Below are 27,892 nucleotides of genomic sequence, written 5' to 3' on the forward strand. Positions count from 1 at the left end.
TGTGGCAGGGCTGGCGTGGTCCACTTGTGCTTACAGAAGATGGCCCTGGTAGAGAGCGTTGCTGGGGTCTGGGGCTTGGTGTGGAGCTGTACCTGCGGGGTGCCTGAAGGAGGGGCAAGGCAGGCACACCTGGGGCGCGACTGGCATCTGTCTGCAGGGTGTATGCAGCCGAAAAAAGGCAGGAGGACAAGGAGGCTGGACAGTGGGGAGTCCTGGTGTTAACCTGGAAGACCAGAGGGTTTAGAGCACATACGACTCCTGTTTCTGTTGTTCAGTGTCTGAATGAATGCGGCCGAGGGCTGTTGAGAAAGCGTCTCGCTCTGGCCTCCTGACTGCAGAGGTGTGTCTGAGCCAAGGCTGATCGATGGGGCTTTTGACACGAGACATCAGCCTTTTAGAAAGAAGAAATGGTTCTCCTCTCATCTTTGCGGACGTTGTCAGGTCTCCTCTCCCACCTGCTGCAGAAGGAGGGATCTGAGTGGGCACCTGGACGAAGGGGCTAGGTAGGAGGTGAGATATGCCAGCACCTAGGCGCTGTGCAGGTATGGATGGTGGCGGGAGAGGCACCACAGCTATGCGCTGGCATGTGTGCATATCGGGGTAGTGGGGCAGGACTCATGAGCTAGAGTCCTGGGCTCTCAGGGAACCCCGCTGCGACGGTGCGGGTGGCACTGACCATGTGTGGGTTGGAGGCAGGGCACCTACAGATATCGATTGTTTACTTGCCGTGCCCTTGATGGTGGGGTTGCGGCAGCTGCAGGTGAGTCTCACCAGGGTTAATGAGTGCTCTGTGTCTGCACAGCAGCTGAGACAGCTTGGAGGCCAACAGCTGCTTGTCCTTAATGCTGCTAGTAGAGTGAGTGCTTTTTCTCCATAGGACAAAGGAGTTTCTTCTTCCCACTGAAGGGCCCTTTGTTGGGGATGCAAAACAAAAGGAGTCCAGCATTCTCTGGGGCAGGGTTGGTAAATGGCCCTCACCCCCTACTGGCCACCCCCCAGCTCTCAGCCTGCTCCAGGGAGGTTGTGGTGGTCTGCCACTCCTTGCCTGCTCTCTCCCAGCCCCCCACTGCCCATTACCCCTTCTTTTCAGAGGGACTCCTTCCTGCTGAGAGGTTACCTCTGTTGAGTTCTCAGTCTCGGGCCTTGATTCGTCTGGGTTGCACTCCCGTTACCTGACCCCTGTGCCTTGCATGTCAGTCCTGCCTCCTCATCGCCCTATACTTGCCTCCCCTGCACACACACACACACGGTGGCTGCTCCATTTGCCAGCAGACGTGTGTAGAACCTACTGCATGCTGGGTAGATCCTGGGGATGCAGAGGTGACTCTACCCTGCCCTCTGGGAGACCCCACCGAAGGTGAAGGCATGTGGAGAGGAGAGGGTATGGATCCATCACATAGGTACAGAATGGAGGGAATGCCCTGTGCCCTGGAAACAGAAGCAGGGGAGCCCAGGCCCGGCAGCTGGTCCGGGAGGGCTCTGCAGAATGCCCCGAGGGCAAGTGCGAGGACTTCCCATGTCGGGGGTGGGACAGGTGCATTTGAAATAGTGAAAAGAGGAAGCTTGGAGCCAGCAGCCCCTCTGTTCTGTCTCCTGTGAGTGTCAGAGATGGTGGCTATGGCCATTGTGTGCTCAGCATCTGAAGGTCAAAGGGTGGGCTGACTCACCGGGCCACACAGCCCATGAAGCAGCAGCTGAGGGACTGCTGGACTCCGGAGCAGCAGCACCAGTGTGGTCTCCCTGTCGGGCAGACAGCACAGATGTTGAAGGGACAGAGCAGATGGGCTCTGCAGTGCCCAGGCTCGCTCCTGCCCAGCTGTGTTCTCTCACTGCACGTGACCTGAGAGTGATGTTTGGTCATGTGACAAGTAGGTGCAGCTCCTTGGCTCCCCCTTGGCCTCCCGGGCCCGGCCACAGCTACGCCAGGACTCCCGATGGCTTGCCCCACCAGAAAGGAGGATGTCCTTTCAGCCCAGACCCCAGGCTACAGCACCTTTTCACTTGTAGTGACTTGTTTTGGGGTCGCACTTCAGCCTCTAACCCACAAAAAAATATATCAACATGCTTTTTATGAGCTTTTCAAAAGTCATGGCCTATCATATGAGCCTAAGCTCTTATGTTAAAAATAATCATGCAACTTTGATTTTGTTTGAGACTGAGTCTCACTGTGTCACCCAGGCTTGGAGTGCAGTGGTGTGATCTCGGCTCACTGCAACCTCCGTCTCCCAGGTTCAAGCGATTCTTTGTGCCTCAGCCTCCTGAGTAGCTGGGATTACAGGCGTGCGCCACCACGCCTGGCTAATTTTTGTATTTTTAGTAGAGACAGGTTTCGCCATGTTGCCCATGTGGTCTCGAACTCCTGGGCTCAGGCAATCCACCCACCTCGGCCTCCCAAAGTACTGGGATTACAGGTGTGAGCCACCGTGCCCAGCCACAACTTTGATTTTTGACATTAATTTTTATCTGCACTACCTTTGTACAGACTAATAATAGTGTTAGCCGAGACCTGAAAAACCAAGGTTTCTGTTCCTCTTAGTCGTCCTCCTGCCAGCCCGTTTCAGTGAATAACACTCCAGCTTGTGCTCAACCTTCCAGACCACGAATCTGGGAGCCACTCACCCAGACTTCTCCTTTCTGCACATCCCCACACTCCGCGGCTTCTGTGCAATTCTCCCGTCCATTCCTTACACCCTCTGCAGCTCCTGTCCCTCCAGAGTAGAGAGGCCTGTCCCGGATCCTGGTGCCTTCCCCTTCCTGACTGCAGTTTCCCAGAGACAGACAACGCCTCTTCAGCAAAATGTATACCCTTAGTGAACCCAAGTTCTGGATGCCAGGTTCTTAGTGTCTTCTACTGCCTGAAGTTTTAACCTGGTTTAATTGCCTAAGTCCTTCACTGATGGCGAAATCTTAGATGTTAAACGGATTGAATCTCAGACAATTCAAAGTTCATTTTCTTTTTCTTTCTTTTTTTGAAACAAGGTCTTGCTCTGTCGCCCAGGCTGGAGTGCAGTGGCACGATCATAGTGAAAGTCCATTTCTTATAAATAGAAATTACCTTGGGCTATGAAACTATTTCCGAAATGATTATAACCACAACAGAAAAGGAAGGAAACAGTGAAACTATTTGTTTTATTTTTTTGAAAGTTTCTGTAACTTTATTTTGATAAAATTTCAAATTTACTAAAAAACTGCAGAAAACCCCCGGAACTCCAATATATTCTTTACCAGATTTACCAACTGTGTGCATTTGGCTCCATTTGTTCTACTTCTCTTTACGTGTGATAGTATATATGCATATTTTTTCCTGTGCCATTAGAAGAGTAAGTTTGAGATACCATGTCTGTTTACCCTTAAATATATCAGCATATTTCCTAAGAACAAGGGCATTCCCTTATGTAACCACAGAACAGTTGTCAAAATGAGGTCACTTAGCATTAATCCAATGTTGTTGTCAAATCCACAGTCTGTAACCATACTTCATCAATTGTCCCAATAATCTTTTTTTTTTTTGGCGATAGAGTCTCACTCTGTCGCCCCCAGGCTGGAGTGCAATGGTGTGATCTTGGCTCACTACAACCTCCGCCTCCTGGGTTCAAGCGATTCTCCTGCCTCAGCCTCCCGAGTAGCTGGGATTACAGGCATGAGCCACTGCACCTGGCCCTCTTTCATGTCCTTTTAATCTGAAACAGTTCCTCAGCCTTTCTTTGTTTTCATGACATTGACATTTTGAGAGCTTATAGGTCCATTATTGTATAAATTGTCTCAGTCTGGGTGTGTCTGCTTCTCTTCATGATTGGATTCAGGTCATGCATTCTTGGGCATCAGCGCCATTGACTTGGTGTGTTGTTCCCCATGCATCAGATCAGATGTCCTGTGCCATCTGTCCTGGCTTTTTAAAAAATAGAGACAAGTGTCTTGCTCTGTCACTCAGACTGGTGGTGTAATCATAGCTCACTGTAACCTTGAACTCCTGGGTTCCAATGATATCGCCTTAGCCTCCCCAGTAGCTAGGGCTGCTGATACATGCCACCGTACCTGGCTAATTTAAAAAGATTATGTGTAGAGACAGAGTCTCACTACCTTGCTCAGGTGAGTCTCAAACTCTTGGCCTCCTAAAGTGCTGAGATTATAGGTGTGAGCCACCACTCCTCGCTGGTGATGTTAGCTTTGATCACTTGGCTGAGGTGTGTCCCTCAGGTTTCTCCGGCATAAGATTAACTATTTTGCTTCATGTAATTAATAAGGAATTTGTAGGAGACACTTTCAAACTGTGTAAAAATCCATTCCTCATTGAGCTTTCCCCACTGGTGTAAGCATCTGTTGATCATTTCCTAGCTCCATTGGTCTCTCCTTACTAGGTGACTTCCCAAGAGCTTTCCTCCTCCTCCATTAATTTCTATGTTTGTTTATTTGTACCTATATGGGCTAGTGGATTTCTCTTTTATTCAGTGAGTTATAATCCATTGTTCTCATTATTTGGATGAGTAAATTGTTCCAGATTGAGTCAGTGGGAGCCTATTCAGGCTGGCTACTGTTTCTTTTAGACACGTCCCAGTATTTCTTTGAGAACTTTCTTTCTAGTCCAGCAAGATGCTGCAGGCTCATCTTGTACTTTCTAGTAAGTCCTGGAAGCCATTTGTTTTTAATGAATGCATTGATACAGTGCATTCCAAAATTTTATTTTGTGTTAATACTACTAGTTGGGATTTATTTGTGTTATTTGGAACTTTTGTTTACATGTTCTTTGGAGAGAAGACCTTGTGATCATCTCATGAGTAACTTTCTTTTTATGATATGTGAATACTCATTATAAATAGGTAATACAGATTTACCTTGTACATAATTTAAGCTAGGGGTTACGTACTAAAGCAGCTGTTACTCTTTAACACTAATTGTGTACTTGAAATTTTAATTTGTATAACAACCTTGTAGAACATGGGGCAGTGTGCCCTTGTTAAATGTAGGAAACTGAGGCTCAGAGGTTAATATACTGGTCCAGTGTCATGTGGCTAATGAATGGTTGAGCCAGAGTTTCAATTCAGTTTAGTCTGACTTCAAAGCTTACTTTTTCTGATACCCTTTGTTATGACATAACACATTTTCTTACTCTAAATTATAGAATTAGTTGAATAACAAAAAGGTTTTTTGTTTGTGTGTTTGATTTTGAGACGGAGTCTTGCTCTGTCACCCAGGCTGGAGTGCAGTGGCACGATCTCAGCTCACTGCAAGCTCCGCCTCCCAGGTTCATGTCATTCTCCTGCCTCAGCCTCCCGAGTAGCTGGGACTACAGGTGCCTGCCACCATGCTGGGCTAATTTTTTGTATTTTTAGTAGAGACGGGGTTTCACCATGTTAACCAGGATGGTCTCGATCTCCTGACCTCGTGATCTGCCCACCTCGGCCTCCCAAAGTGCTGGGATTACAGGCGTGAGCCACTGCACCTGGCCAACAAAAAGTTTATTTCTGGCTTAAGGTCTTTCTCCTGCCGCGTAATTCTGTGTCTGTATGAAAATCAAGTCTGAAGAATTAAAGTACGTGGTTCTCAGAGGAAAGCTGACTTGTTTTTATTAGAGTGGTTCTGCTGTTCTGGTGTTTCTTGAATTACCCAGAAATGCCCTAACCTTGTTATTTTCTTCCTATAGGAACTTGCTTGCTAGAAAACAAAGTGCAAGGCTTGACAAACACAATGACTTGGGATGGAAGTTATTTGGGAAAGCGCCACTCCGAGAGAATGCCCAGAAGGATTCAAAGAGAATACAGAAGGTACACAAGATACAAAATCACAGAAATAGGCTGTTGGATGTGTTTAGCATATATTCATGAACCTTGCAAAAATGACCATATTGAGTCTGAAACTGGAAATCGCTTTGTATTATCTGCATACCACGTTCCTCAGATTTAAGTCTGTATTCACAATGTGGATGAATTTAACCTTCATTTCTTACAGCTTGTAACATGCACATAGGAAAGTCCATTTGACAGAGGTCGGCTTTAGATGTTTATAATGGTATTTAGACAGAGCTGGGCTCTAGATGTTTATAACTGTATTTAATCAGTTTTAGTAATAGTTGCAAATGTGTTTATCATCAAATTTGTATTGTTTGATAGTAAAGCTTTCTCCCGTGGGTTTCTTGGAGCTCACATCCTTCCTGTGCTACTCTGGGACAGGAAGGCGAGGGCCGACATTCCCCGGCTCTGCTGGGATGCCTCTCCCTTGCTCACCCTGAGGCTGCCTACTTTTGGGGTGGGGATGGGGTTCATGCCAGGCCTGCATGTCCTCACCACTGGGCTGCCTTGCTCCTTACGGTGGGAGAGATGCCACTGCTGGAGGCTTGCTTGTGCACGGACACAGCAAGTCCACGGCCCAGGTAGCTGTGACCGTCGCTGCCTGCAGCTTCTCTTAGGCTGTGGGTCTCAGCCGGCTCGGCATCCTAAGAGTCTGCTGTCTGCCCCAAGTGTCGCGACATTGCCCCCAGCACCCTCGCTCCTCCAGCTTCAGTTTTATATTCATTGACATTTGCTCAGTAGACACTCTTGAGGCTCCACTAAGCGCCAGGCCTCATGCTTGGCACCGGAGTTGGAAGGGACACAGTACCCGTGCCCAACAGTGTCCCCATGGAAATGATTCCAGGGCAGGCGCAGGAGGAGTGGGGTGGCACAGACAACTGAGGTTAAAGGTGTGACAGGAAATTAATTGCTATGGGGATCATGTACTGAGTGATTACTGTGTGCTAGTTCTAACGGACTCAGCACTCGTGTTTCTAGTTCCTTTAAAACTCGCAACAACCTTGTGAAGAAGATAGTATTATTAAACTCAGTTTACCAAAGAAGCACTGAGACACAGAGGCTGTGTGACTTGATGTGCAGGGTCACATTGCTAGTAAGTAGCACAGCTGGAAACCGGTCCCAGACAGTGGGATGCCAGGACCCCTTTTGCAGGCAGGGCCAGGCAGGTAGTGGGGACAGCATGAGCTAAGGACAATGTGCAGCTGAGCCCAGGAGGCTGACCGCCGGGAGGAGGCTGACCGCCGAGAGGAGGCTGACTGCCGGGAGGAGGCTGGCCATGGGGCCTGTGCGCTGCACCCGGTAGCCTGCCTCCAACCCCAAGGCTTTGCAGAGCCTCTGAGTGTTTTACGTAGGTAAGGAGTGATGGCATCACCCTGGCAAGAATATGGCTCTTGGACCAGCCCAGGCAAGAGAAAGTGGGGTCTGGCCCAGTGCTGCGTCGTGGGGTTACAGAGGATGCCCCTTTAAGTGCTAAATGGATGGGATTGACTTGCTGGGTGACCTGTTAGGTGTAGGGAGTGGTTTGTTGGGGGTGAGGCGGGAGCGCAGTGTTGAGGCTTCTGGGCAACAAAGTGGGTTTCCACATGCCACATTCTTCACGCGTCGGCAGGTTAAATTTGGTTTGAGTGTTGTCTGCCATTCTCTGCTGTAATCATCTGGACCCAGGGGACTCACTAAGTAAATCAGTGTTGGAATTCATTTTTGTTGATTGTTACATTTTGAATTTGAATCACTTATTGTGTAGGCTTATTAAAATAGCATACAATTAAAGTATGATGAGTTTGTATGCAAAGCTTAGCTATAAATTTCTTAGGAAATTAAATAACCAAGCTGCTATAAAGTTTTTAAAGAAATCACTTTAAAAAAGCAACAATTACATTAAAAAGAAATAGATCTTCCCATGGCACTTAATATCACTTACATAATGTTTGAACTTGTTTGTCTTTTTAAGACCCTGTTTTTTTTTCTTTTTTTTGAGACGGAGTCTCACTCTGTCGCCCAGGCTGGAGTGCAGTGGTGCGATCTTGGCTCGCTGCACGCTCCGCCTCCCGGATTCATGTCATTCTCCTGCCTCAGCCTCCCCAGTAGCTGGGACTACAGGTGCCCACCACCGCGCCTGGCTAACTTTTTGTATTTTTAGTAGAGACGGGGTTTCAACATGTTAGCCAGGATGGTCTCAATCTCCTGACCTTGTGATCCACCTGCCTCGGCCTCCCAAAGTGCTGGGATTACAGGCATGAGCCACCATGCCCGGCCCGACCCTGTTTTTTTTTTGAGGGGAGCATGGATTATGTTCTTGACCTTAGAGGATTTTTTTTTTTCTGTGAACTGAAATGACTAGGCCAGTTCATTATGCGGTAACACAATATTGCCAAGAGGAGGACCATCTGCTTCCGTCGTCAATAATAAAGAATGTAACTTACCTGCGCGAGTCATTCAATCCTGCCCGGGACCTGCTTGCTTGTCTCTGGCCCTCTCATCGCTCATCTCCCAACCCAAGGGACTTGGTGAAGCCTGGGAGGGGCTCAGGGTCAGGGACTCAGCACTGTGGGGAGGCCTCTGCGCTGCTGGCTGGGGCTGGCTGCTGTCATAGGCATGGGCTCACACAGCCTGCACTTGAGAGAGGCAGGCGCTGGGGCCATGACAGCCTAGACTTGTGATCAGGATGGTGACAATAACTCCAGTCAGGGCCGAAGCCTAGAGAAAGTGTTGAGGAAATTCCTTTTCCTTCTCTGGAAGTTTTCTTATTACTTGAGAGAGCAACATCACGTGGTGACATAAGAACTTGGACTTTGGAGTTAGACTACCAGGGTTTGTATCCCAGCTCTGCTACGGTTTGGTTGTGTGACTTTGGGCAAGTTATTTAACCTTTCTGAGCCTCATTTTCCTCATCTCTACAGTATGGAGAACAGTAGCACCTGCCTCCATGGTGGTGAGGATTAAACGGGTGAATACACACACGCACTCAGAATAGTAGTGGACATAGAAAGTATTTGCTGTTACCGTTGTTTCTTTCTTATGACAAGTCAACCTTGAACAACAGGAAATGGAACAACGGAACACAGTGCAAGAGAATGAGCCTGAGCTCTTCAGTGCATTCTTCATCTGCTTGGCCAACAAGTACTGAGCCATGTTGAGGCCAGGTCTTGTGCTGCGCACTGGGAGCCCAAGAGCAGTTGGGTTGACCTACCTCAAGGAGCCTGTGGCTGAGCTGGGGTCAGGTGTTCACACTGGCCAGGAGCTTTGGACCTGCCTCAAGGAGCCCGTGGCTGAGCTGGGGTCAGGTGTGCACACTGGCCAGGAGCTTTGGACCTGCCTCAAGGAGCCCGTGGCTGAGCTGGGGTCAGGTGTGCACACTGGCCAGGAGCTTTGGACCTGCCTCAAGGAGCCCGTGGTTGAGCTGGGGTCAGGTGTGCACACTGGCCAGGAGCTTTGGACCTGCCTCAAGGAGCCCGTGGTTGAGCTGGGGTCAGGTGTGCACACTGGCCAGGAGCTTTGGACCTGCCTCAAGGAGCCTGTGGTTGAACTGGGGTCAGGTGTTCACACTGGCCAGGAGCTTTGGACCTGCCTCAAGGAGCCTGTGGCTGAGCTGGGGGTCAGGTGTTCACACTGGCCAGGAGCTTTGGACCTGCTTCAAGGAGCCTGTGGTTGAGCTGGGGTCAGGTGTGCACACTGGCCAGGAGCTTTGGACTTGCAGGCTTGGGTTTGGTTTCTGGCTTCACCACTTTTTGTCTCTGTTGAGCCAATGACTACTTCTCAGTTTCCTCATCTGCTAAACAGGCATTATGACATCTACTTGCTTAATTGTTCTACACTAAGGGATAATGCGCATGTGGTGTATTTTTGCCCAGGGTTGAACACAGTGAGTCGCCCGGCGTTACTAGTCAAGGAATGGATGTCTTGACTTTTAATCAATAGGTCCGATTTGTGGTGTTGATCCCATATGTGGTTTGCCCAGGACATTTGCCCAGTACATCGGATTTTATTCTAACTGGGCTGCATTCTTTTGGCTTGGGCCTTATATATTACTATTTTGGGGAAATATTGAAATGTTAACTTTTAGTTATCTTTTCAAATTGCATAAACATTTTGAAAATTAAGTCATATTTTTTGTTAACCTCGATGGTAGTTTGAGAGCGATTTTCTTAACAGGGGAAACAAAAATGACCACGGGTAGGAGAATAACAGTACAACAGTGGCTGTCCAGTTGCGGTCCCCGGAGTAGTCACATCAGCATCACCCGGGCATTTGCTAGAAATGCACGTTCTCGGGCCTTACTCCAGACACATCAAACCAAGTTCTGGGGCTGGGGCCCAACAAGTTTTGTTTTAACAGAAGCTACAGGTCATTCTAATGCATGCCAAAATTTAAGAACTATCGGTATGCAGGAAGAGAATGTTAGCTATTGGAAGGAAAATAGCCATCTTTGCCACAGCAGGTTAAATAAAGGGCCCAAAGCCCACCGGCCAGGCAAATTTCAGTAACTGCTGGTGAACCGGAGAAGTTATTGTGGATAAAGATGGGAGCATGTATTTGGAGAGAGCTGCCTTCAGGCCTCTGGTTGCTGGCTTTGTATGAGCTGGACTCTGGCCAGGGCAGCATGGATGGTGACACTGCCTCGGAAGTGCAGTCCTTTGCCTTGTGAGTAAAGGGGAACCTTCTTTCTTGGATTCCATGGCCCTTTTGTTTGTTTCACAGATTTGAGCCTCTGAGTAGATCCATCCTGAGATTACAGTGAAGGGCAAAGACTTCTGTGGCCCTTGCCTTCGTTGGAATTTACCATGGGTCAAGGAAAAGACAGATTTAAACAAATAACTCTACATATAATTATAGTTGTGATCAATGTTGTGAAGAATTGCGGTGATAAGCAATTCTTATCTCTGAGGTCACCTGTTTCAAGTGACTGTCAGCCGCCGGCCACCAAATGCAAGCGTCTGTTCTCAGCCCTCGTCTTCCTTGGCCATCAGCAGCATTACCCCGGCTCCTTGAGTGACTTTCTTGCCTCGGCTTCCAGGCTGCCCGTTCGCCCACCTTTTCGGTTTCCTTTGCTAGGTCCCTCATCTTCCCCATCCTCTAAATGTTAGAGTGCCTGGAAGGCCCTTCCCTGTCCACTGTCACCCTCTAGGGCAAGCTTGTCCAACCCGCCTTAGTTTTTTGTTGTTCTGCTTTGTTGAGGCTTTTAGCAGTCTGAAGCTATGGTTTTTGTTTTCTGTATCTAGAAGCGGAAAAGAGGGATGAGGAAGGGGCTTTACTGGCCCAATCAGAAACAGAAACTAAGAACCCATGACTGTATTCTCTCTCTTGGACACCCCTGGGGCATCTCAGCTGGACTCGAAGCTTCAGCGGTCAGGCTGCCGCCCTGTCTCCAGTTGGGACCTACCTCCTGCCCAAAAATGACCATTTAAAAAGTAAAAGTGATGCTTTGTAATTTGAGCAGGTGTCAGAGGCTCAGGGCTGAAAATACGTGGGGATGCTTTACAACAGACTCGGTAACTCTTTCCGACATAACACTGTGTACATAGGCTGTAGGGATTGACGTCGTTGTTGGAAATGAGGTTGAGCGGAAAGTTAATGTCCTGGTTGGACTCTGAGGGTGCTGCTGATTGTTGGAAAGATAGCCGCAGGGAGGATAGGCTTGTAGGTTTCAGTGTCCTGGATGAAACCCTGTCATGTGAGCACCGATGAGTACATGGCCTGTTGTGTTAGCATTTGTATAGCCTGGAATGTCTTGGGCGGCCTTCTGGAATTTCAAGTCAGCTCTTAGATTTTAAAGCAAGAATCCCAGAAGAAGGCAGATCCAGGACAGTGACATTTTCTCTCCTCACCTCTGAGAAGTCTGGGGTACTCCAAAAGTCTCAAAACATTGTAGATTGCAGCAAGGATAGGTCTTGGTGGTCAGTGGAAGTAATTGGCTGCTGGCCTACAGGCAAATTCTAAAATAACAAGAAAAAACTTCACTTTCATTATCCCTTACGCCTTTGCAAAATGGGTTTGAAAGAGCTTACAGAAGTGAACAGGTCCCGGTCCCAGGTTAGACGGAATAAGCACATTCCACCCGGTGTCACCCAATGAATGCAGATATAAAACCTGAACAGAAAGCATGGAGCAGCTATTTGAGATTCTGGAAAGTAAACAGTGGCAGGTGAGTTGGGGAAGAAGACCAGAATTTGAAGTACCACTGGATTGGTACTGAGTTTACCAATTTTTTTTTCCCTTCCAATATTTCTCAGCCTGAACTCAGGCAGACCCAAACCCAGGAATAGGTCTTAATGTGGACAGAGAGCACCAGGAGAAGCTCTGTACTTCTGACTTGGCGAATGGGTCTCTAACACTTAGAATGAAGAAACCCCATTTTTTAGTTTTATTTATTTATTTATATTTATATTTTATTTTGAGACAGAGTCTCACTCTGTCACCCAGGCTGAAGTGCAGTGGCGCAATCTTGGCTTACTGCAACCTCCACCTCCTGGGTTCAAGTGATTCTCCTGCCTCAGCCTCCTGAGTAGCTGGGACTACAGGCGTGCACCACCACCCCCGGCTCATTTTTATATTTTTAGTAGAAATGGGGTTTCATCATGTTGGCCAGGCTGGTCTCGAACTCCTGACCTCAGGTGATCCACCTGCCTTGGCCTCCCAGAGTGCTGGGATTACAGACATGAGCCGCTGGGATTACAGACATGAGCCGCTGCGCCCAGGCCTAGTTTTATTTTTTACTCTGTCCTCTTGCACCCCAGCCCTCAGGCATTCTTATGAGAGCAGCAGCTGATGGGAGCCTGAGACTCCCAGAAAAGGGGAGCTGATTAGAAGAATTTTGTTTCCAAGGGGTAAAGTGTGAACCCCCCGATGCTTTATTCTCTCTCTCTCCCCATTACCTGGCCCAGATATGGATGCAGTTGTGGGAAGCGTGTGGCTAGAGAACCAGAAAAGGGGAGACCCAGGAAACTAGAAAGTACTGGGGGGATTGCAGAGAGGAGGAGCTCAGGAAGGTAACCCTTTAAGGTGTTAATGAACTCCCAGACTTCTCGTCATGTTGTGGGTACCCAGATCTGACGCTGAGTAGCTTACGTAGACTTGGAGAACTCATCTCTGGGATAGACCACCATGCAGTTCCCTAACTGGCCACTGGATGGTGCACAGGCAGGATGGATCCAAAAAGCGCTTCAAAGGCTTTGAAAACAGCTGACTTGGGAACCACAACTCACAGAAGGCTGGCTGGAACTTGTGTGTGGAATCTAACTGCATAAATTGCTTACTAAGATAAAAACGTCAACATTCTCCCAAGGGTTGAGAGAAAATTCAGAGTTTCTTAACACAATATTGAAAATGTCTAGAATGCAGTTCAAAATTAATTGGCTTAAGAACTAGAATCATCTTTAAAAAAAAAAAATTTCCTCTGAATCAGAATAGGTTCAGATAGGATCGTCTTTTTTTGTGTGTCTGTTTTGTTTGTTTGTTTGTTTTTGTTTTGTTTTGTTTTGTTTGAGATGGAGTCTTGCTCTGTTGCCCAGGCTGGAGTGCAGTGGTGTGATCTCAGCTCACTGCAACCTCTGCCACCCAGGTTCAAGTGATTCTCCTGCCTCAGCTTCCCAAGCAGCTGGGATTACAGGCGCCCGTCACCATGCCTGGCTAACTTGTTTGTATTTTTAGTAGAGACAGGGTTTCACTATGTTGGCCAGGCTGGTTTTGAACTCCTGACCTCAAGAGATCCGCCCATCTTGGCCTCCCAAAGTGCTAGGATTACAGGCATGAGCCGCCGCGCCCGGCCTGTTTTTTGTTTTTGAGATAGGGTCTTGCTCTGTCCCCCAGGCTGGAGTGCAGTGGCGCATCTCAGCTCACTGCAACATCTGCCTCCCAGGCTCAAGCGATCCTCCCATCTCAGCCTCGTGAGTAACCGGGACTACAGGCACGTGACACCACACCTGGCTAATTTTGTATATTTTTTGTAGAGACAAGGTTTTGCCATGTTGCCCAGGCTGGTCTTGAACTCCTGGATTCAAGTGATCTGCCTGCCTCAGCCTCCCCAAAGTGCTGGGATTACAGGTGTGAGCCACTGCGCCTGGCCAGGATCATCTTTTAATAATCAAGACACCACTGCCGAGATAACACAGATGTTGGAATTATTCAATAGACTTTAAAGCAGTCATTATAAAAATGCTCCAACAAGTAAGGGTGCACACTTCTGAGATGGGAAAATAGAAAGTATCAGTAAAGGAAAAGAAACTATAAAAAGAATTAAGTGGAAATTTTGTAACTGAAAAATACACTAACTGAAATAAACTAACCAGACAGGCTCAATAGCAGAATGGAGATGGTAGAGGAAAGAGTGAAGGAATTTTAAGATCAATAGAAATTATCCAATCCAGGCTGGGAGTGGTGGCTCACACCTGTAATCCCAGCACTTTGGGAGGCTGAGGCGGGTGGATCACCTGAGCTCAGGAGTTCGAGACCAGCCTGGCCAATGTGGCGAAACCCCATCTCTACTAAAAATACAAAAATTAACCAGGTGTGGTGGCAGGTGCCTGTAATCCCAGCTACTTGGGAGGCTGAGACAGGAGAATCACTTGAACCCAGGAGCCGGAGGTTGCAGTGAGCCGAGATCGTGCCACTGCACTCCATTCTGGGTGACAGAGCACTCTGTCTCAAAACAAAACAAAAAACAGAAATTATCCAGTCTGCATAGTACAGAGAAAAAAATGAGTTTAAAAAATGAACAGAGCCTTAGGAACATGTGGGGCAGTACTAAAAAGTATAACACTGTCACTGGAGTGTCAGAAGGAGAGGAGAAACAATATGATGCAGACAACTATTGGAGTAAATGATGGCTGAATATCTCCCACATTTAGCAAAAGATAGAAACCTATAGATTCAGGAAATTCAGTGGCCGCCAAACAAAATAAACTCTAAAAAGTAAGAAGTCCATGTCCAGATACATCATAACCAAATTGCTGAAAATAAAGACAAAAAAATCATATAAGCAACCAGAGAAGAACAATGTCATACTTATTGGGGAATAACAATTTGACTGAATTTCTCATCAGAAACCGTGGAGGCCAGAAAAAGTAAAACGATATTGTTAGAGCGCCGAAAAGAACTGTCAACCCAAATTCTGTATCCAGCAAAAATGCCCTTCAGGAATGAAAGTGAAATAAAGATATTCTCAGGTGATGAAAAACGAAGAATTTGTTGCCAGCAGCAGACTTGCTGAAAGAAGTTGTTCAGATAGAAGGGCCTGTATGCTAGGAGGAGACTTGGAACATCAGGAAAGAAGGGGAGCAGAAATTGTCAGGATCTGGATAAATACAGTAGACTATTTTCCTTTTGTTTTAACTGAAAGCAAGTAGATGTTGCCTTTAAATATACAATAACAATGTGCTATAACACGATTAGAGTAGAAAGAGCAATAAACAATTTGCCGTATAATTATAATGCAAAGTTGGTGACTTAAAACACCATAAATATAAAGACATTCACAAAACCACAGTTGAATATACATAACTCTCATTTCCTGGGAAACACAATTTTAAATAAATAGTTGAGTTCCCCAATGGACTATCAATCCCGGAGAAGAAAATCAGGGCGCTCCCTCCTCTCCCTCTCCCTCCTCTCCCTCTCCCTCCTCTCCCTCTCCCTCTCCCTCTCCCCACTGTCTCCCTCTCCCCACGGTCTCCCTCTCCCCACGGTCTCCCTCTCCCTCTCTTTCCACGGTCTCCCCCTGATGCCGAGCCAAAGCTGGACTGTACTGCTGCCATCTCGGCTCACTGCAACCTCCCTGCCTGATTCTCCTGCCTCAGCCTGCCGAGTGCCTGCGATTGCAGGTGCGCGCCGCCACGCCTGACTGGTTTTCGTATTTTTTTGGTGGAGACGGGGTTTCGCTGTGTTGGCCGGGCTGGTCTCCAGCTCCTAACCGCGAGTGATCCGCCAGCCTCGGCCTCCCGAGGTGCCGGGATGGCAGACGGAGTCGCGTTCGCTCAGTGCTCAATGGTGCCCAGGCTGGAGTGCAGTGGCGTGATCTCGGCTCGCTACAACCTCCACCTCCCAGCTGCCTGCCTTGGCCCCGCAAAGTGCCGAGATTGCAGCCTCTGCCCGGCCGCCACCCCGTCTGGGAAGTGAGGAGCGTCTCTGCCTGGCCGCCCATCGTCTGGGATGTGAGGAGCCTCTCTGCCTGGCTACCCAGTCTGGAAAGTGAGGAGCGTCTCTGCCCGGCCGCCATCCCATCTAGGAAGTGAGGAGCGTCTCTGCCAGGCCGCCATCCCATCTAGGAAGTGAGGAGCGTCTCTGCCAGGCCGCCATCCCATCTAGGAAGTGAGGAGCGTCTCTGCCAGGCCGCCATCCCATCTAGGAAGTGAGGAGCGTCTCTGCCAGGCCGCCATCCCATCTAGGAAGTGAGGAGCGTCTCTGCCCGGCCGCCCATCGTCTGAGATGTGGGGAGCGCCTCTGCCCTGCCGCCCCGTCTGGGATGTGAGGAGCGTCTCTGCCCGGCCGCCCCGTCTGAGAAGTGAGGAGACCCTCTGCCTGGCAACCGCCCCGTCTGAGAAGTGAGGAGCCCCTCCGCCCGGCAGCCACTCCGTCTGGGACGTGAGGAGCGACTCCGCCCGGCAGCCACCCCGTCTGGGAGGGAGGTGGGGGTCAGCCCCCCGCCTGGCCAGCCGCCCCATCCGGGAGGGAGGTGGGGGGGTCAGCCCCCCGCCCGGCTAGCCGCCCCGTCCGGGAGGTGAGGGGCGCCTCTGCCCGGCCGCCCCTACTGGGAAGTGAGGAGCCCCTCTGCCCGGCCACCACCCCGTCTGGGAGGTGTACTCAACAGCTCATTGAGAACGGGCCATGATGACAATGGCGGTTTTGTGGAATAGAAAGGGGGGAAAGGTGGGGAAAAGATTGAGAAATCGGATGGTTGCTGTGTCTGTGTAGAAAGAGGTAGACATGGGAGACTTCTCATTTTGTTCTGTACTAAGGAAAATTCTTCTGCCTTGGGATCCTGTTGATCTGTGACCTTACCCCCAACCCTGTGCTCTCTGAAACATGTGCTGTGTCCACTCAGGGTTGAATGGATTAAGGGCGGTGCAAGATGTGCTTTGTTAAACAGATGCTTGAAGGCAGCATGCTCGTTAAGAGTCATCACCACTCCCTAATCTCAAGTACCCAGGGACACAAACACTGCGGAAGGCCGCAGGGTCCTCTGCATAGGAAAACCAGAGACCTTTGTTCACTTGTTTATCTGCTGACCTTCCCTCCACTATTGTCCCGTGATCCTGCCAAATCCCCCTCTGCGAGAAACACCCAAGAATGATCAATTAAAAAAAAAAAAAAAAAAGAAAAGAAAATCAGGGCACATAATAAATTATCATGAAAAGAATCTAGAAAATGAAATGACGTGTGCATGGGGTTCTTATTCCTATTGAGATTGATTTGGGGAACGTTTTCAAATCAGTAGACTGTTTTCTTAATGAGTTATTTAAAAATATGTTTGAAAGCAAAAATGATAATGTCTGGCGTTTGCAGTGTATGTAGATGTTAATATGTAGGACAAGTGAAATACAAAAGGGGACAAGGTGTGGTGATGAAGTTTCTGCATTCCACTTGAAGTAGTAAAATACTGATTCTAAGTAGATTGTGAAAAGTTAATATGTATATTGTAATCCTTAGACCAACCACTAAACTATACAAAGAGATGGCAAAAAACATAATAGAGAAATCAAAATGGAGTTCTAAAAAAAGTTCAAAAAGCTTGAATCAAGACAGGAAAGAAGACATGGAGGAAGAAAAAAAGAGAAAACAAATGAGATGGTAGACCTAAATTCAAACATATCAACAACTACATTAAATGTAAATGATCTGAACACAGCAGTTGTGTGTCTCAATACTCAGTTCTGACAGATTGTCAGAATGGGTTAAAAAAATGGGCTGGGTGTGTTGGCTTGCACCTGTAATCCCAGCACTTTGGGAGGCCGAGGCAGACGATTACTTGAAGCCAGGAGTTCCAGACCAGCCTGATAAGCATAGTGAGACCCTGTCTCTATTGAAAAAATTTACTTGGGCATGGTGATACACACCTGTAGTCCTAGCTGGTCAAGAGACTGAGGCAGGAGGATCGCTTGAGCCCAGGAGTTTGAGGTTACAGTGAACTGATTTTACCCCTGCATGCTAGCCTGAGTGACAGAGTGAGACCCTATCTCAAAAAAAACACAAAACCATAGACCCAACTATGTATATGTTGTCTGCAAGAAACTCACTTCAAATATAGAATATGTAGATTAAAATAAAAAGATAGAAAAAGATATACCATGAAAATACTAATCAAAATTAAGATAAGTCTATTAATATAATAAAAATTAAGATAGGTCTATTAATATTATAAAAAGTAGACTTCAGAACAAAATTACCAGAGATAAAGTGGGACATTACCTAATGAAGACATAATGATTCTAAATGTATTTGCACTTCATAACAGAGCTGCAAAATACATGAAGCAAAGTCTATTAGATCTGAAACAAATGGACACGTCCACATTTATAATGGGAGTGTCAACAGTCCTCACTAAACAGTAAGTGATAGAACTGTAGACAGAATCAGCCAGGACATAGAAATGAACACCATCAACCAACCTGATCTAATTCACAATTTATAGAACACAGCACCCTCCAGCAAAAGCAGAATACAGTTTTTTCAAATGTACATGGAACATTCACCAAGACAGACCATATTCTGGGATATAAGAGAAGCTTAAAAATTTCAAAAGGATTAAAATTATACAAAATATGTTCTGACCAGAGTGATATTAGACTAGAAAACAGTGACAGAAAAATAATTGCCTCCCCAAACTTGCACATTAAACAAGTAGCATACTTCTAAATCATGGGCCCATGAGGAAGTCACAAGGAAAATTAGAAAATATTTTGAAGCGAACGAGAACACAACATACCAAAATTTGTAGGTTGCAGTGCTTAGAGGGAAACGTATAGCATTAAAATGCTCACATAGAAAAGAAAAAAGGTCTCAGATCAGTAATCAAAGTTTCTACCTGAAGAAAGTATAAACAGAGCAAATAAACCCAAAGCAAGCAAAAGGAAGCAAGTAATAAGTGTGAGAACAGATATCCGTACAATTAAAAACAAAAATGATAGACCGAAAGCTGGGGCTTTGAAATGATCAACAAAATTGATTAAACTCTAGCAAAACTGACAAAAAGAGAATAAAATTAGCAAAAGGAATGAAAAAAGGGGATACCACTACAGACTCCACAAAAATAAGACAATAGAATGTTATAAATAACTTGTCTTTTTTTTTTTTTGATACGGAGTCTCGCTTTGCCACCCAGGCTGGAGTGCAGTGGTGTGATCTCGGCTCACTGCAACCTCTGCCTACCGGGTGCATGCCATTCTTCTGCCTCAGCCTCCCAAGTAGCTGGGACTACAGGCGCCCGCCACCACGCCCGGCTAATTTTTTGTATTTTTAGTAGAGACGGGGTTTCACCGTGTTAGCCAGGATGGTCTCGATCTCCTGAACTTGTGATCCACCCGCCTTGGCCTCCCAAAGTGCTGGGATTACAGGCGTGAGCCACCGCGCCCGGCCTCTGTCTCTTTTTTTTTTTTTTTTTTTAAAGACTGAGTCTTGCTCTGTTGCTCAGGCTGGAGTGCAGTGGTGCGACCTCAGCTCACTGCAACCTCTGCCTCCTGGGTTCAAGTGATTCTCATGCCTCAGCCACCCGAGTAGCTGGGATTACAGGCATGTACCACCACGCCCAGCTAATTTTTGTATTTTTAGTAGAGACAGGGTTTTGCCATGTTGGCCAGGGTGGTCTAGAATTCCTGGCCTCCAGTGATCCACCTGCCTAAGCTTCCCAAAGTGCTGGGATTACAGGTGTGAGGTACTGCACCAGCCACATAAATTTGATAACTTAGATGAAACCGTCCATTTCCTTGAAAATTGCAAATCACCAAAATTCATCCAAGATGAAATAGATAACCTGAATCATCCTGGAATTTATTAAAGAAGGACTAGATGGTTTCACTGATGAATCCTACTGAACATTTAAAGAAAACACCAATTTGAGAAGAAGACGGAGTACGTACTTCCTCACTCATTTTAAAGGCCAATCTTACCCTGCTATCAAAACCAGATGAATACAGTACCAAAAAAACTACAGGCAAATATCCCTTTTGAAGACACACAAAAAATTCTCAACACAGTATTAACAAATTGAATCCCATAATACATTAAAAAGTTACAACCATGACAAAGTGACGTTTAGCCCAGGAACACAAGGCTGGGTCAGTGTTTGAAAATCGATCAGTGTCAGCTACCATACTACCAATTTAAAGAAAACCACACGATCCTATCAGTTGGTGCAGCAAAAGCATTTGATAGAATTCAGTGTCCATTCCTCACAAAAACTCTCAGCAAAGAAGAAATGGAAGAGAACTTCCCCCACCTGATAAAGAGCATCTACAGGAAACAGCTACAGCTAACATGCTTAATGGAGAAAGACTGAAGGCCTTCCCCTAACATTGAAAACAAGACAAGGATGTCCGCTCTTACTATTCCTGTTCAACATTGTATCGGAAGTCCTAGCTGGTACCTTGCTTGTGGTAATGCACAATGGTACAGCCATTCTGGAAAACCAGTTGGGAGGTTTCTTTAGGTGAAACATATACTTAGAATTAGCCCAGCAATCCCACTCTTAGGTGTTTGCCATCGAGAAATGAAAACTTATGTTTGCACAAAAATCTGTACATGTTTATAGCAGCTCTTTTCATAATCTTCAAGAAATGGAAACAACCCAAATGCCTTTCAATGAATGGATGAATGGTGGTACATTCCATACAACGAAATATGACTCAGTAATAAACACACCTAATACCTTGGGTGAACCTCGGGCATTATCTGAAGGTAAAAGTCAGTCTCGAAAGTTTGCGTGCTGTGATTTCATTTGTATCACATACTTGAAAAGACAAAGTTGTAGTGATGGAGAACAGATTCACAGTGCCAGGGGTGGGGTAGGGTGTGACTACCGAGGGCTAACACAAAGGAGGTTTTGAGAGTGATCCAACTGTTTTATATCTTGATTGTCATAATGGTGGCTACAAGGCAACATTTTAGAAGTCATAGGACTATATACACTAAAAAGCTAACTGTATGTTAATTCAAAAAATTAACATGAATTAATGGATCATTTAGGGTTCTTTTGACCCAGCATTTCCACTTCTGTTAATTTCTCCTACAGATGAATACGCATATAGGTGAAATGACAGTTGTATAAGGGTATTGATCGCAGCACAAGTGATTGGAAGCTATCTAAATGTTTGGCAGGGAATTGGTGAAATCCTAAATGAAATACTGCACCGACCTCACAAAGCAAGATGGATCACTATTTGTATAGTGTGGTCTATGTGGCTAAAGATACACACACATCCTCATAAATGCAGAGACCATATTTGGAAGGGTACTTACAAAATAGCTATTAGTGGAATTTCTTTGGAGAGGAGAACAAACTGGGTACATGGGAGATAGGAGGGAGACCTACTTTCCACTGTATACACTTTTGTACCTTTTGTATTTTGTTCTGTGTACATGTCTACTTAAAAGAATTTTTTTTTTTGAGACAAAGTCTTGTTCTGTTGCCCAGACTGGAGTGCAGTGGCACGATCTCGCCTCACTGCAACCTCTGCCTCCTGGGTTCAAGCAATTTCTGGCTAATTTTTGTATTTTTAGTAGAGACAGGGTTTCACCATGTTGGCCAGGCTGGTCTTGAACTCCTGACCTCAAGTGATCCGCCTGCCTTGGCCTCCCAAAGTGCTAGGATTACAGGCGTGAGCCACCGTACCCGGCCTTTAAAATATATATATATATTTTTAATGTGTAGAATGACAGAAAAATTGTTGAGGAAATTTGGGCAAAGGACAGCAAGATGAAACCAGACGTAAGTGGATGCCCCAAGATACAACTCACAGAATCTCATGTAACTCCTAGAGGTGTGCTACAAATTTTACATTGAGCTTTCTAGTGGCCAGAGCAGAGGGAAACATTATACAGCTGGTGACCGAGTTGAAAGCTGAACCTACTCTGGAAGTTTTGGCTTGTCAAGGTGGTAGAGGTCATGTTTGTATGGGACTGGGATCGTTTGGTGGAGAACAGGTCTATCAGGAGATTATCCCATAAAATGTCTAATCCCCATTTGTCCCCATTAATGTTGGGGTTTAGAGAAGCAGCAGGTTAATTACATATCATACTTCCACATGATGCCAAGAACTAGAAAGAAGGAAGTGATCTGAAGTTTCTACAGGGGAAATGGCAGCATGGTTGTTTAATTTGCACTTTCCTTTTTAGTCTTCTATTATCCTGGTAACAGCTTATTTATTCTGAGAAGTATAAATTCTTCATCCCCAATGCCTTTTAACAATAAAGACTGAAATTCCTATTTAATGCTTAATGCTTCCTAAGTTTTGCTTATTTTTCCTAATGTGGAAGTGATAAGTTTCCGTTAGTTGGAGAGGGTAGTGTTGAGAGCACAGTTTCTTTGGTGCAAACACTGTGGATCTTGTGTTCAGTCTTACTGCTGCGTCTCGCCAGAAGGAATAGGAATTCAGGAACAGGAAACACATTTGTTCTTTTACAGGTCTTTACTGGGGCCTTTCACAGTACTGGGGTGAGAGGGGTCTCAGGCCTGTGAACATGGGGTTGGGGTGGGTTGGGAAGACTCTGGCTTTGGGATTAGAAAGCTGGAATGTGTACCTTGGTTCTGTCATTTACAGTCAGTCGTGTGGACTTAAGCCCATGTCTTTGTCTCTCTGAGCCTCAGTATCCTCTGCAGAGGTAGTGCTCACATTGCCTATGCTCGTGAGGGTGAAGTACAATGCAGCATGGGGTCGTGGAGCAGTGGCTGGCATCCTGGCATCCCATGGGAGCTTCGGCACGGTCAGGACTCCTCATTGTGGTCTCCTGTCACAGCTAGACCTTCAGTCTTGTGTGCATAGAAAAAAGCCAGCAACAGACCCAAAAAACAACCTTGCTGCAGTAATAATTCGGTGTGGTTTGGAAATAGTTGGTGAAATCGATTTTTGATGCCATCTGAATTAGCTTAAAAATTATTTTTCACATTTTAAATACAATTTATGAAAAAATACTTATCAAATACTCAAATGATAGATGCAAGACAGGAAAATCCTTTCCCTCCTGAGACTTCACAGCCCCCGTTACAGGAGTCTCTGATGGTTTCATGTCTGCCCTCCCAGGCCTTTCTCTGAGACAAATTATGTATGTGTAAATTTCGTCCACACAATTGCATAGACATGATGTAATTGCAGACTGAGTTCTTTGAGCACCTTCTCTCTGGTATGCTTAGGAATCTTGTTAAACACATAACTTGAAGCTGTAGTAGCCTGTGATTGTAAGGAGGGGACTGTCTGTGTTCTAAGTCTGGTTTCTGGCTGACCTTGGACTCGGCAGTGGTGTCTGCAGGCGGGTGGCCCGTTGTGTACGATTGTGAACGCCGAAGAGATGGTGCAGCTCAATTGATGCCGCTTCCCAGAAAGACCGAGAGAAAAGCCCCTGGGAGCTTTTGAATGCTTTTGCCCTCGCCTGGGCAATTTAATGTGTTAATGTGCCCCACTTAGATGGAGCGGCTGTTGACATTTTGCCATATTTACTTTATTGTGCCTCTATTTTTTAAAAAATTGAACCATTTGCAGTATTATGACATCTTACTGCTAAATACTTCAGCACACAGCTCTTAAGAGTAAAGACATTCTCCTACATAACCATGACTGTTACCACACCCAGGAGAATGATGGGGAATTCCATAGTAGCATCTGATACCCAGAGCATGTTCTAATTTCCTCAGTTGTATCAAGCTGTTCTTTTTGAACCAGGATCCAGTCAGGTTTGTGTATTGCCTTAATTATATGTCCCTTTATTCTTTTCATATAAAACACTCCTTTTTCTCACGACTTTTACCTTTTTTAAAATTAAAATGATCAAGGTCAAAGATTTATTTTACGCCTTGAGGAGACCAGTAAGAGATAAAACTTATGCCAAGAGCATTTGAGGAATTAGGGGTGTGTGTGTGTTTGTACACACATATATGCGTAAAACCCAAAAAGAACTAGAGTAAGATGGCTAGGTTAGATTTCAATGAACAAACAAACTGGTGACAATAAAACATAATCTTTGGGGTTATCTTTTCTTTTGGACATTATCTACAAGTTAATATGTAACTTTACAGTATCGGGGCTTGAATGGAGTAACAAATAGCACAGGGACAGTGTCCTAGATAATTAATCTTTAGGCAGCCATGCTAAAAGTGCCCAGGAATTAATTGAAAGAATAACCCCTACTCCTGCTTTTGCCTTATTTTCAAATTTTGGATAATTGTCTTAACAAGGCGTTCGCTAATCCTTTCAGCCAGAATCAGCCTCTTTCCCTTTTATCCTATTTTTAAAAATGGCTTGAGGTATAAATAATATACCATGAGATCCACTCATTGTAAGTGTTCCACGATTTTAATAAATGTATACAGTTATGCAACTATCATTGCAATCTAGTTTCAAAATATGTTCGACATCCAAAGTTTTATTTTTCATCACCCAAAAAAGTTCCTTCGTGCCTGTTTGCAGTTGATCCCACTCTCACCCCCAGGCAAACATGAATTTGCTTCCTCTCTAGAGATTTACCTTTTTAAGAAGTGTCACATAAATGGAATAATGGAATTTTCTTGTCTGGCATCTTTCACCTGGCCTAGCGTTTTTGAGGTTCATCCATGTAGGCCCATGTCTCAGCAGTTTCTTTTCATGGCCATTTCCCTGCTGCTCATGCATCCGCGGTTGGTGGACGTTCTGGTTGGCGTGGACAATGCTGTTAGGAATGTTTGCATGCAAGTCTCTCTGGTCGTATTTCTCTTGGGTGGGTTCCAGGGAGTATGGTAGGGGATGCTGAATTATAGAAGAAGCTGCACCATTTTACACTCCTACCAAGGATTTAGGAGAATTCCAGCTTCTCTAAGTCTTTGCTATCACTTGCCATTGTCCTTTTTATTTTATCCTGGCGGCCGTCACAGGCTTCCTCTGATGGAGACCTGTCTGCCGGCGATTTGGTAGTTCTGAATCCCAGGAGATCTGCGGGGGGAGCCTTGGGCTAGGCCCCGTCACGGGAGAGCCTCGTGTTGTCGCAGACCGGACTTGCTCAGCCCTGGGACCTGGGGCCCGCGGCTGACCAGAAGTAATTTTGACCCGACGTAGTCCTTATGGTGTAGGGTCGAAGTTTAAAGACTGTTTTTAAAAACCTGAGGTCTCATCGACAGCGTACCGCGCCATCTGAAGGGCGCTGTCCCGCCAGCTTCCGTCTCCCTCCCGGCAGCCCCGGGGCGCCTGTTCGGCTTCTCTGAGTGTTTTGTGTGCTCCCTGACGTTTTAAACCCACCTGTTAATACTTTGTGAAAAACAGGAGCCACGGTAGCCCGTAAAAACTGCTCACAATCACCCCGCCACCCAGAGCTCACTAGTGCGACTATTTTTGTGCAATTTCTTTTGGCAACACGTTTCTCAGCTCTCGGGTGATCTTTAAGGCAGAAGCTGGCTCTCCGCCTGTCGGCGCGCGTCCCCGGTGTTTACGGCCGGTGGGGCCGTACCACGGGGACGCCCCAGCCCCGCCCCTTGTGCCCGCCCCTCGCCGCTCATCAGCCCCGCCCCCTTGGGAGTCTCCAGCCAGGCCTGACGCGCCGAGCCGGCAGCGCGGATCGCCTCGCTGTGTCTGCGCGCGATTGAGCGGCCTGCCGCCCCGCCCCGCCCCGCGAGTCTGAGGAGCCGCCGCGTCCGCCCGCCCGCCCGCGGTCCGGGAGGGAGGGAGGGAGGCCGGCCCTCCGCTCGCTGGGCATGGAGCCTCCGGCCGCGCGCCTCTAAGGCCCCGGCGTTCATGGTGAGTCGGGGTGCGGGCCGGTGCCTCTCCCTGCGCCCCAGGCCTGCCCGGTCCCGTGGGCCTGTCCTGTCCTGGGCCTGCCAGCCCTGCGGCCCCGCGCAGGTGGAGGGTGCGAGTGTGCATGTGTGCGGTTGTGCGGGTGTGCGAGCATCACGTGTATCTGTCCTCAACAGCCGAAGCTTGCTGTGCATGCTGCTGATGCGCTCTCCTCCCTGGTACTCTTTGTGTCTGTGTTTCCACGTATTTTCTTCTGGTTCACGTTTACTAGGACGACGAGAGACAGCGTGAGCGAGCACGTCCTTTGAGTCCTCCTTACCCTGTTTTCAGAGCCGGGCCAGGCCCAGCAGCCCCCTTAGAGGTCAGAAGGGCCTCGCCTGCGATCCGATGAGCCTTTGTATGGAGATGAGACTGCGCTCCGAGCTCTAGAGCCCAATGAGGTGGTCAGGTTGCAACAGCAACCGGGCGTGTTAAAACCTAGTTCCTTTGAATATGTTTCATTCACCAGCCCGCATATTAACTTTTGATGCTCTGGGAGGAATATGACTATTAGAAAAGGACTCCTGAGAGTGCTTCCCAGAATGCCAACATTCCCAGTAACTTAGAGAACGCTTTCCAGGAGGGGACTGCAGCTTGTTAAAGAACCCAGGCCAGAGGAACCACTCAGATGTTCTCAGTGGCTTTACTTACTGTGAGGTCAGGCTTCAGGGGTTAGCCGGGGCTGCCTTTTGGAAGGTGGGACCTTTCTAAGACCTGTGCAGGCCATTCTTCCCCCTCAAAATGGCAAAACAGCCCCTCCCAGATGCTAAACTGGGCTCCCCCCTCCAAGACAATTGCTTTTACAAATGGCCAAGTGTGAGACCAGCCGCGGTGTTGCGGACACTTTCAGTTTCGTGCCCTTTTCCACAAGCAACCCTCTTAGAGTGGAATGTTGTGAAGAGTAATTTCATAGTATATAGTGACAGTCATACTCCTATCATTTCTGGGCACCTGCTTTGGCTCTGCAGCTTATGCTGGTTCTCATTTAATCTTCAAGTGTAACAGATGAGGAAACAGGCTTGTGGATGGAGGAGGAGCTCAAGGTCATTCTGCTGGTGGTGCTGGCTCAGACCAGGCCTGCCGCTGTCCCCCAGCGCTTCCCTGGGTCCTCAGCCTGTGCAGATGTGGTGGCCGTGCTGTCACAGCATTAGTTCAAGTCAGTCTTTTGATAGGTACCACTCGGATGGCCAGCCTGCCTTGGCAGCTTTATTCCAGGCGCGCTCCCAAATCCTCAGGTTATTTTCACTGGTGAATCTTGATACTGCAGACAGCGGGGTCGGAGATTTAAGCACAGGATTTGACTGATGACCCTTTCCTCTTCTAGGTAAAATAGATTTCCAGGGAGCCAGAGGCTCCTTCCTGGAAGTCAGGGGGCTTCCAGTAGCAGGTTATTGACATCATTGGCTGTTTTGTAGTGTTCCTCCAGTTCATAAGTAGCATTGATGACCTTTCTTGTCTTTCTACCAGGAGTACTTTCTTTTTTCTTTCTTTCTTTCTTTCTTTTTTTTTTTTTTTTTTTTTTTGAGACAGGGTCTTGTCCTGTTGCCCTGGTGCGGTTATGGCTTACTGCAACCTTGAACTCCTGGGCTCAAGTGATCCTTGTCTCAGCCTCTTGAGTAGTTGGGACCACAGGCACAGCACCTCTGTGCCAGGCTTAGGAATACTTCTTCATTGTTTGAGAATCATGATCCTTTCTTTTCGCTCTTAAAACAAATGTGCATTGAAGCAGGCTTTTCCCCCGCTTTTTAAACCAACAAACGTTAAACCTAATTCAGGAGCCTCGTGCCCTTCTTGTCTTTAGCACTGTGCAGATCACACGTGGAATGTAGACCCTGCCCCTGGATGCGTCTGAGGGGCTCCCCATACCTCATAGTCTCTCCTCTGGCTCTCCTCTCTCTCCTGGGGCTTGTCCCAGCACCTCTGGGTAACGTGTTGAGACCTTCAAATCTAGAGCAAAACAACTTTGACTCTGCACCATTCCCGGTTCAAATCCTGGTGCTAGCCTGCTTGTGGGTGTCTCTTGGCCACTGCTTCTGCTGTCAGAGTGCCTCTTCCTCTTGGCCTCTAGCCCACGTCTTACCTGTCTGTCCACTCAGCTGGCCCCTTTGTGAAAGCTTCCCATGTCCCCCTGGCCTCAGGCATCCTGCCCTTCCTCCCACAGTGTGTGGC

The 27,892-nt window shown here is 47.1% G+C and overlaps 1 protein-coding gene across 18 annotated transcripts in view, besides 12 other annotated features; it reads left to right on the plus strand.

Moving 5' to 3' along the window:
• The window catches only part of TBC1D14 (TBC1 domain family member 14), a 123,649-nt gene that overhangs the window by 52,197 nt on the left and 43,560 nt on the right, over positions 1-27,892 (plus strand). For 14 of the 18 annotated variants that reach the window (XM_011513508.2, NM_001113361.2, XM_017008477.2 and 11 more), the window contains one exon: positions 5,642-5,762. In XM_011513508.2, coding sequence (XP_011511810.1) covers positions 5,642-5,762 — 121 coding nt within the window. Of the gene's footprint in view, positions 1-5,641; positions 5,763-25,546; positions 25,688-25,845; positions 25,903-27,892 lie in introns of those variants that run through there. The other 4 variants (XM_011513513.3, NM_001113363.2, XM_017008479.2 and 1 more) reach the window with 2 other exon arrangements.
• Positions 2,553-2,792: an enhancer, noted in NCBI's record as "active region_21266". NCBI's record gives its function as "activates an Ori minimal core promoter by ATAC-STARR-seq in GM12878 lymphoblastoid cells {active_cell/tissue: GM12878}" and the evidence as "EXISTENCE:reporter gene assay evidence [ECO:0000049][PMID:35858748]".
• Positions 9,116-9,753: an enhancer, noted in NCBI's record as "H3K27ac-H3K4me1 hESC enhancer chr4:6972505-6973142 (GRCh37/hg19 assembly coordinates)". NCBI's record gives its function as "activates a minimal SCP1, AML or CMV promoter by ChIP-STARR-seq in primed H9 embryonic stem cells {active_cell/tissue: H9 hESC(primed)}" and the evidence as "EXISTENCE:reporter gene assay evidence [ECO:0000049][PMID:30033119]".
• Positions 11,031-11,668: an enhancer, noted in NCBI's record as "NANOG-H3K27ac-H3K4me1 hESC enhancer chr4:6974420-6975057 (GRCh37/hg19 assembly coordinates)". NCBI's record gives its function as "activates a minimal SCP1, AML or CMV promoter by ChIP-STARR-seq in naive H9 embryonic stem cells {active_cell/tissue: H9 hESC(naive)}" and the evidence as "EXISTENCE:reporter gene assay evidence [ECO:0000049][PMID:30033119]".
• Positions 11,280-11,574: a silencer, noted in NCBI's record as "tiled region #8425; K562 Repressive non-DNase unmatched - State 19:H4K20". NCBI's record gives its function as "represses a minimal TATA promoter and a strong SV40 promoter by Sharpr-MPRA in K562 cells {active_cell/tissue: K562}" and the evidence as "EXISTENCE:reporter gene assay evidence [ECO:0000049][PMID:27701403]".
• Positions 11,669-12,307: an enhancer, noted in NCBI's record as "NANOG-H3K27ac hESC enhancer chr4:6975058-6975696 (GRCh37/hg19 assembly coordinates)". NCBI's record gives its function as "activates a minimal SCP1, AML or CMV promoter by ChIP-STARR-seq in naive H9 embryonic stem cells {active_cell/tissue: H9 hESC(naive)}" and the evidence as "EXISTENCE:reporter gene assay evidence [ECO:0000049][PMID:30033119]".
• Positions 24,290-25,049: an enhancer, noted in NCBI's record as "H3K27ac-H3K4me1 hESC enhancer chr4:6987679-6988438 (GRCh37/hg19 assembly coordinates)". NCBI's record gives its function as "activates a minimal SCP1, AML or CMV promoter by ChIP-STARR-seq in naive H9 embryonic stem cells {active_cell/tissue: H9 hESC(naive)}" and the evidence as "EXISTENCE:reporter gene assay evidence [ECO:0000049][PMID:30033119]".
• Positions 24,855-24,904: an enhancer, noted in NCBI's record as "active region_21267". NCBI's record gives its function as "activates an Ori minimal core promoter by ATAC-STARR-seq in GM12878 lymphoblastoid cells {active_cell/tissue: GM12878}" and the evidence as "EXISTENCE:reporter gene assay evidence [ECO:0000049][PMID:35858748]".
• Positions 25,045-25,124: an enhancer, noted in NCBI's record as "active region_21268". NCBI's record gives its function as "activates an Ori minimal core promoter by ATAC-STARR-seq in GM12878 lymphoblastoid cells {active_cell/tissue: GM12878}" and the evidence as "EXISTENCE:reporter gene assay evidence [ECO:0000049][PMID:35858748]".
• Positions 25,045-25,814: a biological region, named in NCBI's record as "H3K27ac-H3K4me1 hESC enhancer GRCh37_chr4:6988439-6989198".
• Positions 25,050-25,809: an enhancer, noted in NCBI's record as "H3K27ac-H3K4me1 hESC enhancer chr4:6988439-6989198 (GRCh37/hg19 assembly coordinates)". NCBI's record gives its function as "activates a minimal SCP1, AML or CMV promoter by ChIP-STARR-seq in naive H9 embryonic stem cells {active_cell/tissue: H9 hESC(naive)}" and the evidence as "EXISTENCE:reporter gene assay evidence [ECO:0000049][PMID:30033119]".
• Positions 25,405-25,814: a silencer, noted in NCBI's record as "silent region_15242". NCBI's record gives its function as "represses an Ori minimal core promoter by ATAC-STARR-seq in GM12878 lymphoblastoid cells {active_cell/tissue: GM12878}" and the evidence as "EXISTENCE:reporter gene assay evidence [ECO:0000049][PMID:35858748]".
• Positions 25,915-25,964: an enhancer, noted in NCBI's record as "active region_21269". NCBI's record gives its function as "activates an Ori minimal core promoter by ATAC-STARR-seq in GM12878 lymphoblastoid cells {active_cell/tissue: GM12878}" and the evidence as "EXISTENCE:reporter gene assay evidence [ECO:0000049][PMID:35858748]".

The sequence above is a fragment of the Homo sapiens genome, chromosome 4, assembly GCF_000001405.40.
Source record: "Homo sapiens chromosome 4, GRCh38.p14 Primary Assembly".
In the NCBI taxonomy this organism is placed as follows: domain Eukaryota; kingdom Metazoa; phylum Chordata; class Mammalia; order Primates; family Hominidae; genus Homo; species Homo sapiens.